Consider the following 16,058-nt stretch of genomic DNA (forward strand, 5'->3'; position numbering starts at 1 on the left):
AATTTTTTTTTTTTTTTGTATTTTTAGTAGAGACAGGGTTTTGTCACATTGGCCAGGCTGGTTTTGAACTTCTGACCTCAGGTGATCTGCATGCCTTGGCCTCCCAAAATGCTGGGATTACAGGCGTGAGCCACCCTGCCCGACCTGTGTTTTTTTCTTTTTTCAAGACAGAGCCTATGTTGCCCAAGCTGGAGTGTAGTGGCGCGATCTCAGCTCACTGCAACCTCTGCCTCCTGAGTTCAAGCAATTCTCCTGCCTCAGCCTCCCCCGTAGCTGGGATTACAGGCGCCCGCCACTACACCTGGCTAATTTTTGTATTTTTAGTAGAGACAGGGTTTCGCCATGTTGGCTAGGCTGGCCCTGATCTCCTGACCTCAGGTAATCTGCCCACCTCGGCCTCTCAAAGTGCCGGGATTACAGGCGTGACCCACATCTGGCTTGTGTTTTTTTCTTAATCCTGTACTTTGTTTCACCAGATAGAGAAAGATTGTCTACAAGTCATCAAGGAGAACAAAGCTATCAACTCTATACTAGAAGCTTAAGGAAATTAAAACAACCAGAAGGTTGTATCAGGCCTGTCGGTTATGAATGAGTAAGAAAGTAAGACATATGCAAGGGAGTGGGAGGCAGATGGAAGATTCGTTACTGAAATCTACTGAAGTTTACCACGTGCCCAGTGGCGCTCTCCCTGCTGATGACAGCCTTGACCCTCCAAGTGAGATGATACGAGGCTGGATAAAAGTTTCACCAGCTTAGTAATGTCCCAAGAACTCCATGGCGGCTGCTCACACTTGGAGAGTAGGTATGTATTTCTCCTGAGCAGGAATCTCACAGTTTCCTTTAATTCCTGAATGTAGGACCAGATGAGAAAAATCAGCCTGTTTTTCATTAACCCAGGATTTGTACCAATTACAGGTGGTAAGGCCGTTCCCTTTCGTCAGAAGGGGATATGCTTAGCACAAAGAACCTCAATTTTTCATGTTCCTCTAATTTTTCAGAAAGCAGTCACCTCACAGCTCATGGTAGCTGCAATACCAGTTTTATGAGACAATACAGAATGAAAAAAGAGACAATTTGATCAAACATCAAAGACTAAAGCAAGGCCAGAGTGGTACCATGCACTCCCATTTAGTTCTCAGAATACTTAATCATCAAGAGTAAAAGCTAAGCATGTGGTTGATCACGGCTCAGGGCACAGGAATTGGGAAAAATATATTACAGGTAACAGGACCCTGACAGCCTCCCATGAGATTCTTCCCACTGCTCTCTTCCACTGCGTGGGGAAAGGGAGCATGTCATTTTTTTTTTTTTTTTTTTTTTTTTTTTTTGAGACGGAGTCTTGCTCTGTCTCTGTTGCCAGGCTGGAGTGCAGGGGCGCAATCTTGGCTCACTGCAACCTCCGCCTCCTGGGTTCAAGTGATTCTCCTGGCTCAGCTTCCTGAGTAGCTGGGACTACAGATGCATGCCATCACGCCTGGCTAATTATTATTTTTTTGTCTTTTTAGTAGAGACGGGGTTTCACCATGTTAGCCAGGATGGTCTCGATCTCCTGACCTCGTGATCCGCCTGCCTCGGCCTCCCAAAGTGCTGAGATTACAGGCGTGAGCCACCGTGCCCAGCTGGGAGCACGTAATTTATCTGTAAAATTTGATACTGGCTGGGCACGGTGGCTTACGCCTGAAATCCCAGCACTTTGGGAGGCCAAGGTGGGAGGATGGCTTGAGCCCAAGGGTTTGAGACCAGCCTGGGTAACATGGTGAAACCCTGTCTCTACAAAAAAATACAAAAATTAGCCAGACATGGTGTCACATGCCTGTAGTCCCAGCTACTTGGGAGGCTGAGGTGGGAGGACCACTTGAGCCGGGAGTTTGAGGCTGCCACAGTGAGCCGAGGTTGCACCACTACACTCCAGTCTGTGCAACAGAGCCAGACCCTATGTCAAAACAAACAAGCAGGCAATAAAATAAGATAAAATAAAATTTGATACCAATCTTACCTCAACTACCATTGTGGCAGAGAGAGGCTCAACAGAAGCATCTGAGAGGCAGGAGGCCTGGATGGGAGGAAAGAGGGGCAGAGTCTCCTGTGGCTCAATCAACGGGAAGAGCCGCCCTATGACAAGATTGATTGGGAAGAGGATGACAGCAGTATGGATGCTGACCAGCAGTTCAGACCAGGCCACAGCAAATGGACGCACTGAAAGAAAAGCATGACATCAACTTTCATCTTCAACAATTAAAATAATCGCAAAGTCATTCCTCTCCTAGGTTTAACTATTTACTGAGGAAGTTAACTACGTTTATCTAGAGATAAAATTATCCTGGCAGTAAAGACCATGTTGTGTTCCTAATACTGCTTCATTTGTTAATGAATGAGAACACTGAGAAAATTTGTTAGAGTATTCTAACGTTAGGGCAGTGGAAGAAAAATGAAGGCACAATGTATTAGTCTGTTTTCACACTGCTATAAAGAACTATCTGAGACTGGGTAATTTATAAAGAAAAGTTCTTCATGGCTGGGGAGGCCTCAGGAAACTCACTGTCATGGCAGGAGGTGAAGAGGAAGCAAGAAACCTTACATGGCATTACAAAGCATTACAAAGCACTACAAAGCACCTTACCTGGCATTAACACTTTACATGCCTTACAAAGCAAAGCATCTTACATGGTGGCAGAAGAGTGACAGGGGAACTGCCACACACTTTTTTTTAATCCCCGAGACGGGGTTTTGCTGTCACCCAGGCTGGAGTGCAGTGGTGCAATCTCGGCTCACTGCAACCTCCGCCTCCTGGGTTTAAGCAATTCAACCATCAGATCTCATGAGAACTCACTATCATGGGAAAAGCATGGGAGAAACTGCCCCCATGATCCAGTCACCTCCCAGCAAGTCCTCCCCCCGCCCCAACACAGGGGGATTACAGTTGGACGTGAGATTTGGGTGGGGACACAGAGCCAAACCATATCACACCACATGATTCTGTTTCTTTCTAATCCTGAAAGTAAGGGTAGTGGAGTTTAGTTAAAGTATTGCATAGTAGGCTGGGCATGGTGACTCGTGCCTGTAATCCTAGCACTTCAGGAGGCTGAGGCAGGAGGATCACTTGAGGCCAGGAGTTCTAGACCAGCCTGGGTAACAGAGCAAGACCCTGTCTCAAAAAAAAAAAAGGATTGCTTACTACAAACAACACACATCAGGGCTCATCCATACTTTGCTCATCTCTCTTGGCAGTGGTGCTGTTTATCTTCCAGAACATAACATTGATGACCATGTTGCAGAGTAGCAGTGTCATGCAGCAAGACAGCCGTTGGACCCTTGTAAACTGGTTCCAGGGATGCCGAGTTGCAATTGAAAGCCACAGATAATCCTGGGTGAACTTTTCCACAATCATGGAGGAAAACAGATGTCTGAAAAGAGAAATCAGAAGAGGAAATACATGAGATTTTATTCTGAAAGTGCACCAGTTTAAGATGTGATTTGCCCAGCAACAAGCGACATAGCAACTCCCAAGCCTCTATTCAACACCTCTGTGAATAAGCTTTCAGATATTTTAATTCTTTTTTTATTTTAAATTCTTTTACCATCACCCGAATGTGTCCATGTAAGATTCTTTTGTTGTTTTAGGATAAAAGGTTGTTGAGGATAATTTATATGCTATGCGAGTTTAAAATTAAAAATGGTTGTTTTAGCTTTATAAGAGTTTTGATGAATTTTTTACTCTTCAAAAGTTTACATTAAACTTCTGCTCAAAATAGTTTGGTAAATTCATACTCTGAGCACTTTCTCTACTCCAAATATGGAGGAACTATAAATAATATATAAAAAGAAAGAACCAAAAAGACTTTGCTGGGCTTAAACACAAAATAAACCTTTTCTGAGGAAGAGAAGCAGAATGAGAAAACAAGGTGGTCAGAGTGAGGTAGAAGCCACAGGATTACTGAGCTCCAGACCTGGAGGAAGGTAGTACAAAAGTGGGAGTTTGACTTTTGTACAGTAACTGAAACTAAAAATGATTCACTGGGTGCAGAAAAGGGAGGGACAAAGCCAACTTCATTGCTAGAAGCCAGTGTTGAGCCTGGAGCTCATGAAAGGATACTTGAGAACAAAAAAACCTCTGTAGGGCTACACATTTATAGTAAGGAGGTGAGAAAAAAAGGACAGCTTCATGACCAGGAACTAAGTCAAGAGATCCAAGGCTCATGACAAGATCTGCAATACTCCTAGTTCCATTAATTTCATTGAAAAATAGGAGCTCCAAGGTCCCATATAATAAGGCCCAGTTCTAGACTGGAGATGTGAAGGGTTGGAATGAAAACAGTAGCAAAACCAGTCACGGGTGGTGTTTGTGGTGGAAGGGGTGGAAGGGATGGTATGTGTGTGTGTGTGGAGGTGCAGTGGCAGGGAGAGGAGTGGGAGGGAGAGGGAAAGTAATAATCCAGCCCAAAAGAAATTAATTTAATGGGACCCAGGAGGCAGAGGTTGCAGTGAGCTGAGATCGCACCACTGCACTCCAGCCTGGGCTACAGAGAGACTCCATCTAAAAAACAAACAAAAAAAGGGGTGTATATAAACACACACACATAACAGAATATCATTTAGTTTTTTGTTTTTGAGACAGGGTCTTGCTGCGTCACCCAGGTTGGAGTGGAGTGCAGTGGTGAGATCTCAGCTCATTGCAACCTCCATCCCCCTGGCTCAAGTGATCCTCCCACCTCAGTGGTGTGCAGGTGCACACCACTACACCTAATAGGGCTTAGCTGTATCCCCACCCAAATCTCATCTTGAATTGTAGTTTCCACAATCCTCTCCTCTGTCATGGGAGGAACCAGGTGGAGATAACTGAATCATGGGGTCAGTTTCCCCCATCCTGTTCTTGTGATCGTGAGCGAGTTCTCACAAGACCTGATGGTTTTATAAGGTGCTCCCCACTTCACTGGGCACTCATTCTCCTTGCTGCCATGTGAAGAAGGATGTGTTTGCTTCCCCTTCTGCCATGATTGTAAGTCTCCTGAGGCCTCCCAAGCCATGCTTAACTGTGAGTCAATTAAACGTCTTTCCTTTACAAATTACCCAGTCTTAGGTACGTCTCCATAGCAGCATGAGAATAGACTAAATATAACACCTGGCTAAATTTTGTATTTTTTGTAGAGATGGAGTTTTACCATGTTGCCCAGGCTGGTCTCGAACTCCTGAGCTCAAGTGATCCACTTGTCTCAGCCTCCCAAAGCGCTGGGATTCCAGGTGTGAGCCACTGCACCTGGCCCATCATTTAGCTTTAAAAAGGAAGGAATTTTTTTTTTTTTTTTTTTTTTTTGTGAGATGGAGTTTCACTCTTGTCACCTAGGATGGAGTGCAATGGCCTGATCTTGGCTCACTGCAACCTTCACCTCCCAAGTTCAAGCAATCCTTCTGTGTCAGCCTCCCAAGTAGCTGGGATTACAGGCAACCACAGCCATGCCTGGCTAATTTTTGTATTTTTAGTAGAGATGGAGTTTCACCATGTTGGCCAAGCTATCTCAAACTCCGGACCTCTGGTGATCCACCCGACCCGGCCTCCCAAAGTGCTGAGATTACAGGTGTGAGCCACCGCACCCGGCCCAAAAAGGAAGGAAATTCTTGCACATGCTACAGCATGAATGAACCTTGAGGACATTGTGATAAATGAAATAAGCCAGTCACCGACAGACAAATACTGTATGGTTCTGCTTACATGAGGAATGTGAAGTAATGAAATTTATAGAAATAGAAAGAATAGTTGCCAAGGGTTGGAAGGGGGAGGGAACAGGAAGTTGTTCAATGGGTGTAGAGTTTCAGTTTTGCAAAGTGAAAAAGCTCTGGAGCTCTGTTGCACAGCAGTATCAATATATATACTACTACTGCACTACACACTTAAAAATGGTGAAGATGGTAAATGTTATGTGTTTTTACCGTAATTTTAAAAGTTGTAAAAACAGTGTAAACATACACATAAATAAATATATAGATTGCAACTCTTCTGCCTTAAAAAATAACTACATGCAGCAGTGATTAAGAATCTATATGATGGACACACAATGCATGAAGATGTAATTTGTATGACAACAATAGCACAAAAGAGTGGGAAAGGAACTGAGCTACAGGAGTGAAGTTTTTGTATACTATTGAAATTAAGTTGATAGTAATCCAGCTAGGTTTTCATAAATTAGAATTTTAATTATAATCCCCAGGGGAGGCATAAAGAAAATAATTTAAAAATATATAGTAAAAGATACGACAAAAGAATACGGTAGACTAGAAAATATCCATTTAACACAGAGAAGGCAGTGATGTCCTCTGGGAGATTCTATGCCAGTAGGTGTGGGTAACTGTTGAACCCCATTTGTGATGGTGATTAAAAAAAAGGCAGTGATAAAGAAACAGAGGAACAAAAAAGATACAATACGTATAGAAAACAAATAGCAAAATGGCAGATATAAACCTTACCTTATTAGTAATTATATCAAATGTAAATAGGTTAAACTCACAAATTAAAAGATAGAGATTGGCAGAATGGACCAAAAAAATGCCTAATCCAACTGTATTCTGTCTACAAGAGACATAATTTAGATATGAAGACACAAATGAATTGAAATTAAAAGGATGGGCCAGTAGTGGTAGCTCACACCTGTAATCCCAGCACTTTGGGAGGAGAAGGTGGGAGGATCATTTGAGGTCAGGAGTTCGAGACCAGCCTGGCCAACATGGTGAAACCCCATCTCTAAAAAAATACAAAAATTAGCAAGGCATGGTGGCACATGCCTGTATTTCTAGCTACTCGGGAGGCTAAGGCAGGACAATTGCTTGAACCCAGGAGGTTGCAGTGAGCCAAGATCAAGCCACTGGACTAAAAAGATGGAAGAAGGTATTCCATGTAAACAGCAATCAAAAAAGGGCTGGAGTGGCTATACTCATATAGGACAAAATATACTTCAAGACAAGAATTATTACTAGAGCCAAAGACATTTTATTAAAGGGTCAATTAAGAAGATAAATTCATCTGTGCTGTCTTCTTACAAGCCAAGTGGAAGTGTTGCTAGCCAGCCATATAGCTGTCACAATGTTTCTGCTTAGGAACTGCTCCACAGGCAGAAGACAATGTATTAAAATCTTCAAAGTGTTAAGGGAAAAATAACAAAAAATTTCTATCCACTTAAATAGCTAACTATGAGTCAAGAGTAAAGATGGACACACACGGCCGGGCGCGGTGGCTCACGCCTGTAATCCCAGCACTTTGGGAGGCCGAGGCGGGCGGATCACGAGGTCAGGAGATCGAGACCATCCCGGCTAAAACGGTGAAACCCCGTCTCTACTAAAAATACAAAAAATTAGCTGGGCGTAGTGGCGGGCGCCTGTAGTCCCAGCTACTTGGGAGGCTGAGGCAGGAGAATGGCTTGAACCCGGGAGGCGGAGCTTGCAGTGAGCCGAGATCCCGCCACTGCACTCCAGCCTGGGCGACAGAGCGAGACTCCGTCTCAAAAAAAAAAAAAAAAGATGGACACACACACACTTCTCATTAGAACTATTAAAAGAGCTACTTCAACAAGGAGAAAAAAGCCCAGAGTAATGATAAGAAATACAGAAAACTGGCTGGACGTGGTAGCTCATGCCTGTAATCCCAGCATTTTGGGAGGCCGAGGTGAGTGGATCACCCTGAGGTCAGGAGTTTGAGACCAGCCTGGCCAACATGGTGAAACCCCATCTCTACTAAAAATAGAAAAATTAGCCAGGCGTGGTGGTGGGCGCCTGTAATCCCAGCTACTCAGGAGGCTGAGGCAGGAGAATCACTTGAATCCAGGAGGCGGAGGTTGCAGTGAGCCGAGATCATGTCACTGCACTCCAGCCTAGGCGATAGAGCAAGACTCTATCTCAAAAAAAAAAAAAAAAAAAAAAAAAGTCGGGCACGGTGGCTCACACCTGTAATCTTAGCACTTTGGGAGGGTGAGGCAGGTGGACTGCTTGAGCGCAGGAGTTTGAGACCAGCCTGGGCAACAGAGTGAAACGCCGTCTCTAATAAAATACAAAAAATTAGCCAGGCATGGCAGCGTGTGCCTGTAATCCCAGCTACTCCGGAGGCTGAGAAAGAATTGCTTGAACGTGGGAGGCAGAGGTTATAGTAAGCTGAGATTGCACCACTGCACTCCAGCCTGGATGACAGAGCAAGACTCCCGTCTCAAAAAAAAAAAAAAAAAAAAGACACTAAAAGAATACAGAAAACTAGGCTGGGCACGGTGGCCCTCACCTGTAATCTCAGCACTTTGGGAGGCCAAGGTGGGTGGATCACCTGAGGTCAGGAGTTTGAGACCAGCCCGACCAACATGGAGAAACCTGTCTCTACTAAAAATACAAAATTAGTCGGGCATGGTGGCGCATGTCTGTAATCCCAGCTGCTCAGGAGGCTGAGGCAGGAGAATCACTTGAACCTGGGAGGTGGAGGTTGTGGTGAGCTGAGATCGTGCCATTGTACTCCAGCCTGGGCAACAAGAGCAAAAATCCGTCTCAAAAACCAACCAACTAAACAAACAAACAAAAAACAAAGAATACAGAAAACTAGAATAAACAGAGAAATTGATATTAATTATTTAATTAACTGTGAAATATGAAAGGAAAAACCTTTTTTGTGCATCTAAAAACAAAATGGTAAAACCATAACACTAGAGAGTAATTTAAAACATGGGAATTGGGAGAGAGGTTACTCAAGAACGGTTAAAGCATTGCTAATTCTTTGTCATGTTCAGGCAGAAGAAACGTTATTCTTAGAAAATTAATATGGAGAAAAAGTGTGTTAAAAATTAAAAGTAACCAATAAAAAGAATTAGAAGAGGAAGAAGAGGAACAGAAGCAGGAAGTGGAAAAACAAGAGGAGAAAGAGGAAAAAATACAATGTATAGTTTCTAAACCAGCAAAGATTAAAAATACAAGAAGTGGTCAGGCATGGTGGCTCACACCTGTAATCCTAGCACTTTGGGAGACCAAGACATGCAGATCACTTGAACCCAGGAGTTCAAGAACTAGCTTGGGCAACATGGTGAGACCCTGTTTCTACAAAAATAGTTTTAAAATTAGCCAGGCATGGTGGCACACACCTGTAGTCCCAGCTACTCAGGAAGCTGAGGTGGGAGGATCACCTGAGGCTGGCGAGGTTGAGGCTACAGTGAGCTGTGATCCATGTCACAGCACTCCAGCTGGGGTGACAGAGCAAGACCCCATCTGAAAGAAACAACCAACCAACCAACAAACCAAGAGGCAGAGAACCTTAAAAAAAAAAAACCAAAAAAAACTACAAAACCTGTCAATTTGACAATGTGGAAAGTAGATAAAGGAAAGAGAATGGATTATAACAAATAATGCAAAATAATATGGTAAATTAAGTCCAAATGGATTGGTAATCATGGTTAATGTAAACATATTAAACTCATGTATTAAAAGAGATTATTAGATCTGGTTTTTTAAACATCCAGTTATATGTTGCTTGCAAGACATAACTCTAAGCAAAACCATAAAAAGGGCTGAAAGTAAAAAGATAAGAACAAACAATAGAAATAATATCAGTATGTCAACTTTCTTTAGTTAATATAAAATGGAATTTAAGATACAAAGTGTCAACAGGATCAAAGGGAGACCTATATAATAAAAAAAAAAGTATCCAGAAGAAATAACATACACTTAAATGCTCCTAATAAACATCCAATAGACATATAAAATATGTCTATACGGTAAAAACTTACATAACTGAAGGAGAATTAAACTCACAGTCTTTCCTCTATTGGAAACACAGAGATTAAACAGATAAAAAATCACATTTCTGCAACAAAAATGAGTATGTTTGAATAAATATGTCTATATATGTTTTAAAAATACTAGAACTTTGGATGCAATGGTATATGCCTGTAATCCTAGCTACTCGGGAAGCTGAGGTGGGAGGACTGCTTGAGCCTAGGTGTTTGGGACCAGCTTGGCAAACACAGTGAGACCCTATCTCAAAAATCAAAACAAAACAAACCTAGAACTGTATCAGGTCTAGGGAGGGGAAATAGTATTCGCTACCCCTTAAGTTTTGGTGAAGGAGAGAAAATTTCTACCAGTTTATTCCTATACACAAGCAACACACAATTTAAAACATATATTTTTGGTTTGTTTTTTAGAGACAGGATCTCATTTTTTTTTTCCCACTTCTTGCTGAGAGTCCATGATTTTTAGTTTCAAGACTTATTTGTTTTCTCTGTTTTGTTTTGAGATGGAGTCTTCACTCCTTCGCACAGGCTGGAGTGCAGTGGCGTGATCTCAGCTCACTGCAGCCTTGACCTCCCGGGTTCAACTTCCCTGCCTCAGCCTCCCCAGTAGCTGGGACTACAGGCGTGCACCACTGCGCATGGCTAACTTTTGTATTTTTGGTAGAGAAGGGGTTTTACCATGTTGGCCAGGCTGGTCTCGAACTCCTGACTTCAGGTGATCTGCCCACCTCAGCCTCCCAAAATGTTGGGATTACAGGAGTGAGACACCGTACCTTGGCCCTTCTCCTTGAATCTGATTTTCAAAGTTAGGACATAAAAGGCTAAAGCCCCTACTTAGTTCTGTTGAACTGCCCATTCTGGAGGGAGACAGCCACCCCTGTGAAAAATGCCACTCTCTTGAGGTTGCCACGCAGAAGCCATACATAGGTGCTTTGTTGACAGCCACAGATGAGCTCTCAGTTGACAGCCAGCGCCCCCTGCTGACCTTGTGAGCGAATCATTTTTGGAAATCTAACACAGAGGAGCTTACAGATGAGTAACAGACCCAGCCAGGATGAAAGATCCCAAGGGAAAACTCCCCAGCCATGGCCTCACTGAATTTCTGACCCACAAAACCAGGAGAAAAGTAACATGGTTGTTTTAATCCACTCAGTTTTGGGAGTAATTTCTTATATGCCGCAATTGTAATTGGAGCAGATCTTAACAAAGAAATACACATTTCTTGTTTGTTCTGGGAGTCAAGTACCAGAAGAAACAGTTCCATGTTTTTTTGCCTTTAGGCATTTTAATGTAAGGACGTGGTGTTTGGTTGATAGAGCCACTGAGGCTGGAGCACAGTGGCTGTATCTCGGCTCACTGCAACTTCCGCTTCCTGGGTTCAAGCCACTCTTCTGATTCAGCCTTCCAAGTAGCTGGGACTACAGTCTCATGCTACCAAGTCTGGCTAATTTTTGTACTTTGGTAGAGATGGGGTTTTGCTATGTTGGCCAGGCTGGTCTCAAACTCCTGGCCTCAAGTGATTTGTCCACCTCGGCCTCCCAAAGTGCTGGGATTACAGGTGTGAGCCACCATGCCCGGCTAGGACATGGTGTGTGGGCCTCTTGCAATCATCTTGTTCCCATGAGGAAAAAGCCGAGAGCCGTAATATTGAACCAGAAAGCTGAAGGTAAGAAGGAGGTCAGATAGCAGAGGTATATTCTCCTAGGAATATTCTCATCTTTAGCATTCAGGAGACATAGAAAGATACATGGATACCTAGAAAGATACAGAAGTTGATACGTATATTATACCGTTCTCCTGGTCTGTGAATTCACCAGTACATTGCTTTAATTATTTTGGTTTACTAACATCTTTGCATTTTTTGAGATGGAGTTTCGCTCCGTTGCCCAGGCTGGAGTGCAGTGGCAATCTTGGCTCACTGCAACCTCTGCCTCCCAGGTTCAAGCAGTTCTCCTACCTTAGCCTCCCGAGTAGCTGGGATCACAGGTGTGCACCACCACGCCTGGCTAATTTTTGTATTTTTAGTAGGTCTTGCTATGTTGGCTAGGCTGGTCTTGAACTCCTGACCTCAAGTGATCTGCCTGCCTCAGCCTCCCAAAGTGCAGGGATTGCAAACATGAGTCACGGTGCCTGGCCAGTTTACTAGTGTCTTTGAAAGTCAGTTGAAGGCTACAGCCCTCTAATACTTTCCTTTATTTTTATATTTTGTTCTCATAAATATTTGTATCATCGAAGTAGTGGTATCCTTTTTATATTCCATTGATCTGAGTGATTCTTTTATTCCTAGATATCTTAGTAAATTTATAAATGATTCTCTAGGTAAACAGTTTCAGAAAATAAGGGCAATATTTATAATTTTTATACTTCGAATCTCTTTTTGTCTTCCTTCTGATTTTTAAGGTAATGGTTACACCAGTTACAACCACAACAGTAATGCTTATGTATGTTTGAAATAATACATTAATAAAATGTTAATTTGCATTAAAAACAATTCAATCGTGAACAATTCAATTAATAGTGAACATCAATATTCACTGTTAATAGTAATTTTCCAACAGTACCTAAAGGAAAAGAGCTCTCTCTTTGAAACTGGGATGAAGACCCGGTCAAGCTCACAGTCTCCGAGGTCCACAGCCAGCCAGCAATTGCACAGGAAATGCCACTTCCTCTTAACTGCCATGTCACAGACAATTACCTGGCTGACATACCTATAGTAAAATGAAGATAACCACATTAGGGAGATGGGCTTGAATCAGTTGTCTGTAGTAAGACGTAATCTCAGACCATTAGTAAACTGTCCAAGTAAATGAACTGTTTCATTGCAAGGCAAGAACTAAGGAAAGGAAAGAAAGTTGAGGCCAGACATGGTGATGCACACCTACAATCCCAGCACTGCGTGAGGCTGAGGCAGGTGGATTGCTTGAGCTCAGGCATTTGAGCACAGCTTGGGCAACGTCGCAAAATCCCAACTCTACAAAATATATAAAAATTAGCTGGGCGTGGTGGTGTGCACCTGTAGTCCTGAGCTACTTGAAAGGCTGAGGTGGAAGGATTGTTTGAGCCCGGGAGGTCAAGGCTGCAGTGAGTTGAAATTGCACCACTGCATTCTAGCTTGGGTGACAGAATGAGACTCTGTCAAAAAAAACAAAAAGAAAAGAGAGTAGATCTTATCTTTCCCTTCCCAACTTCTAAGGGAGTTCATGTACCAGACACCAGACTGCAAACCTTTCTCACCTATGAATAGATAAGTATGTATCTACACATTTTATAACCTTTCTCTGTCCCATATGTGACAGTGGCTTGCCACCTTTTCAAATATCCCATCTGCCTTTCATCATCAGGGGGCATAAATGGGTTGTAGTCTTTATCATTTACATTAATGACTTCTCACTCTACTTAGTCTCATCTCCGCTTCACAGGCCTCATCTCCACTTCACAGAGCCATAGGCCCTGAGAGCTCATCCTTTTCCCAACCAGTGTTTTATCACTAATTTCTCTGCTAACTTCAGCCGTTCACACCCCTGTCCTCTGGGACACCTGATTATTCAACCTGTTTGATTTCACCTCACAACTATTCGGCAAACCTCCTCCTTTACTGTAATGATGCTATTTTCCCCAAGGGTCTGTGTTTGTCATGAAACCACTTAAATTTCTCTCGTCAAAATCTTTTTTTTTTTTTTTTTTTTTTTTTTTTTTTTTTTTTTTTTTTTTTTGAGACAGAGTTTCACTCTCTTGCACAGGCTGGAGTGCAGTGGTGTGATCTTGGCTCACTGCAACCTCCACCTCCCAGGTTCAAGCAATTCTCCTGCCTCAGCCTCCCAAGTAGCTGGGACTACAGGAAGGAGCCACCACGCCCGGCTAGTTTTTGTATTTTTAGTAGAGATGGGGTTTCACTGTGTTATAGCCAGGATGGTCTCGATCTCCTGACCTCGTGATCTGCCCGCCCTGGCCTCCCAAAGTGCTGGGATCACAGGCATGAGACACCATGCCTGGCCAATTCAATGTATTTTGACAAACGTTTATACACCAGCACCATCAAAATATCACCCCCAAAAGCTCCCTATCCCTCCTTCCAGTCACCTCCTGCCCCCTCATTCCTGGCCTTAGGAGAACAATGATCTGCTGTCCTCTGTCTTTATAGAATAGTTAGCCTTTTATGGAATTTTATGTGTGTGGAATCATATGCTCTCTCTCTATATATATGTATTTTTTTTTTTTTTTGAGGCAGGATCTTGCTCTGTTGCCCAGGCTGGAGTGCAGCGGTGCGATCTTGGCTCACTGCAACCTCCACCTCTTGGGCTCAAGTGATTCTCCCGCCTCAGCCCCCCAAGTAGCTGGGAGTACAGGCATGAGCCATCACGCCCAGCTAATTTTTGTATTTTTTTGTAGAGACAGAATTTCACCATGTTGCCCAGGCTGGTCTCAAACTCCTGACCTCAAGTGATCTAACCACCTTGGCCCCCCAAAGTGCTGAGATTAGAGGTGTGAGCCACTGTGTCTGGCCTATACATTCTTTATGTACAGCTTCTTTCACTAAGCATAATTTAAAAAAATTCATCCACGTAGTCATATGTAACAATCGTTTCCTTTTCGTTGAGTAGTATTACATTGAATCAATACACTAACATTTGTTTATTCATTCAATAGACATTTGTGATGTTTTCTGTTTTGGGCTACTAATAAAGCTGCTATGAATATATGTGTACAGGTCTTGCAGTGGACACATGTTTTTGTTTATCTTGGGTAAATACCTATGAGTGTGATTTCTGGGTCACATGGTCAGTGTATGTTTAACTTCACAAGAAACTGGCAAGCTGTTCTCTGAAGTGGCCATACCATTTTACACTCTCACTAGGGGCGTGTGAGTGTTTCAGTTGCTCCCCATCCTCCCCTAAACTTGGTTTTGTGAGAATTTTTTTTTTTTTTTTTTGGAGATGGTCTCACTCTGTTGCCAAGTTGGACTGCGGTGGCACCATCTCTGCTCAACGCAATCTCTGCCTCCCAGGTTCAAGCAATTCTCCTGCCTCGGTCTCTCGAGCAGCTGGGGTGACAGGCATTTACCACCATGCCCGGCTAATTTTTGTATTTTTAGTAGAGACAGGGTTTCACCATGTTGGCCAGGCTGGTCTCAAACTCCTGACCTCAAGTGATCTGCCAACCTCGGCCTCCCAAAGTGCTGGGATTACAGGCGTGAGCCACTGTGCCTGGCCTTTTGTGAGAGTTTTTAATTTAAGCCATTCTGATGGATGGCTAGTGCTGTCATTTTCATTTACTGATGACTAACCAGGTTGAACATCTTTTCAAGTGCTTACTATACATTATTCACTTTTTTAAATAAAACTGGAAGGATGGTTTACAAGCTGATTTGTGCATACTGGAACAGAATGGAAGCAGCAAGGAAGTTATTAGGCTCTACCAGCCCAGTGGCTGGTATGTCTAGCTAGGGGGAAAAATGTATTTTGCTAACAAATTTAGGGAGACCATATGCTCTTTGTGGGTGGGCAACATGTGGCAACAGATTGAGTGCCTGAGCCTTAAGACTTCTACTTCATTTTTCTCTTTTTTCCTAACTCCAAGGAACCAGTAATCCTCATTCTTAATTAATTGTATCATCTACTTTCTCTAGCACCTCTCCTAATTCTGGGTGCTGCTCAAGGAAGATACTGAATCATTCAAACCTAACACGTTAGGTTCAAGGACTTTATCATCGTCTAGTTATTTCTCTAACTCCTTAGGCACATCTCATACAGTAATTCTTTCTCCTTCCTTAAGATCTTGACTTTTTTTTTTTTTTCCTTCCCTCCGAGACAGGGTCTTGCTGTTGCCCAGGCTGGTGTGCAGTGGTGCAGACATGCTCACTGCAGCTTCAACCTCCGAGGCTCAAGTTATCCTCCCACTTCAGTCTCCTGAGTAGCTGGGATTATAGGTGCACACAACCATGCCTGGCGATTTTTTTTGAAATTTTTTTTGTAGAGGTGGGGTCTTCCTATGTAGCTCAGGCTGTTCTCAAACTCCTGGCCTCAAGTGATCTTCCTGCCTTGGCCTCCCAAAGTACTGGGATTACAGGCGTGAGCTGCTGCGCCCTGCCCTTAAGCTCTTAAATTTGACTCAAAGTTTGACTGTCAGTAGACAGTTGTTTACTAAAGTTAGTCTTTAAGGATATTTTTTCATATTTAGAAATACTTTTAATTTGTGGCACTTTCAGGCAATATTTCATTGGTGTTATTTGCTGTTCACAATCATGACATTTAATGAAAATGAGATTAGAGAAAACAAAACATCTATTATTCTACTATCCAAAAAAAATCACAT

General features: G+C 42.9%; 1 protein-coding gene across 12 annotated transcripts in view; it reads right to left on the bottom strand.

The window, feature by feature from the left end:
* PKD1L3 (polycystin 1 like 3, transient receptor potential channel interacting) overlaps nt 1-16,058 on the bottom strand; it is a 70,865-nt gene that overhangs the window by 21,360 nt on the left and 33,447 nt on the right. For 10 of the 12 annotated variants that reach the window (XM_024450254.2, XM_024450257.2, XM_024450256.2 and 7 more), the window contains 4 exons: nt 12,308-12,454; nt 3,208-3,404; nt 1,997-2,196; nt 667-847 (listed from right to left, as the gene is read on the bottom strand). In XM_024450254.2, the coding sequence (XP_024306022.1) occupies nt 667-847; nt 1,997-2,196; nt 3,208-3,404; nt 12,308-12,454 (725 nt within the window). Of the gene's footprint in view, nt 1-666; nt 848-1,996; nt 2,197-3,207; nt 3,405-12,307; nt 12,455-16,058 lie in introns of those variants that run through there. The other 2 variants (XM_017023204.2, XM_017023203.2) reach the window with 2 other exon arrangements.

This window comes from Homo sapiens, chromosome 16 (assembly GCF_000001405.40).
Source record: "Homo sapiens chromosome 16, GRCh38.p14 Primary Assembly".
Classification (NCBI taxonomy): Eukaryota; Metazoa; Chordata; class Mammalia; order Primates; family Hominidae; genus Homo; species Homo sapiens.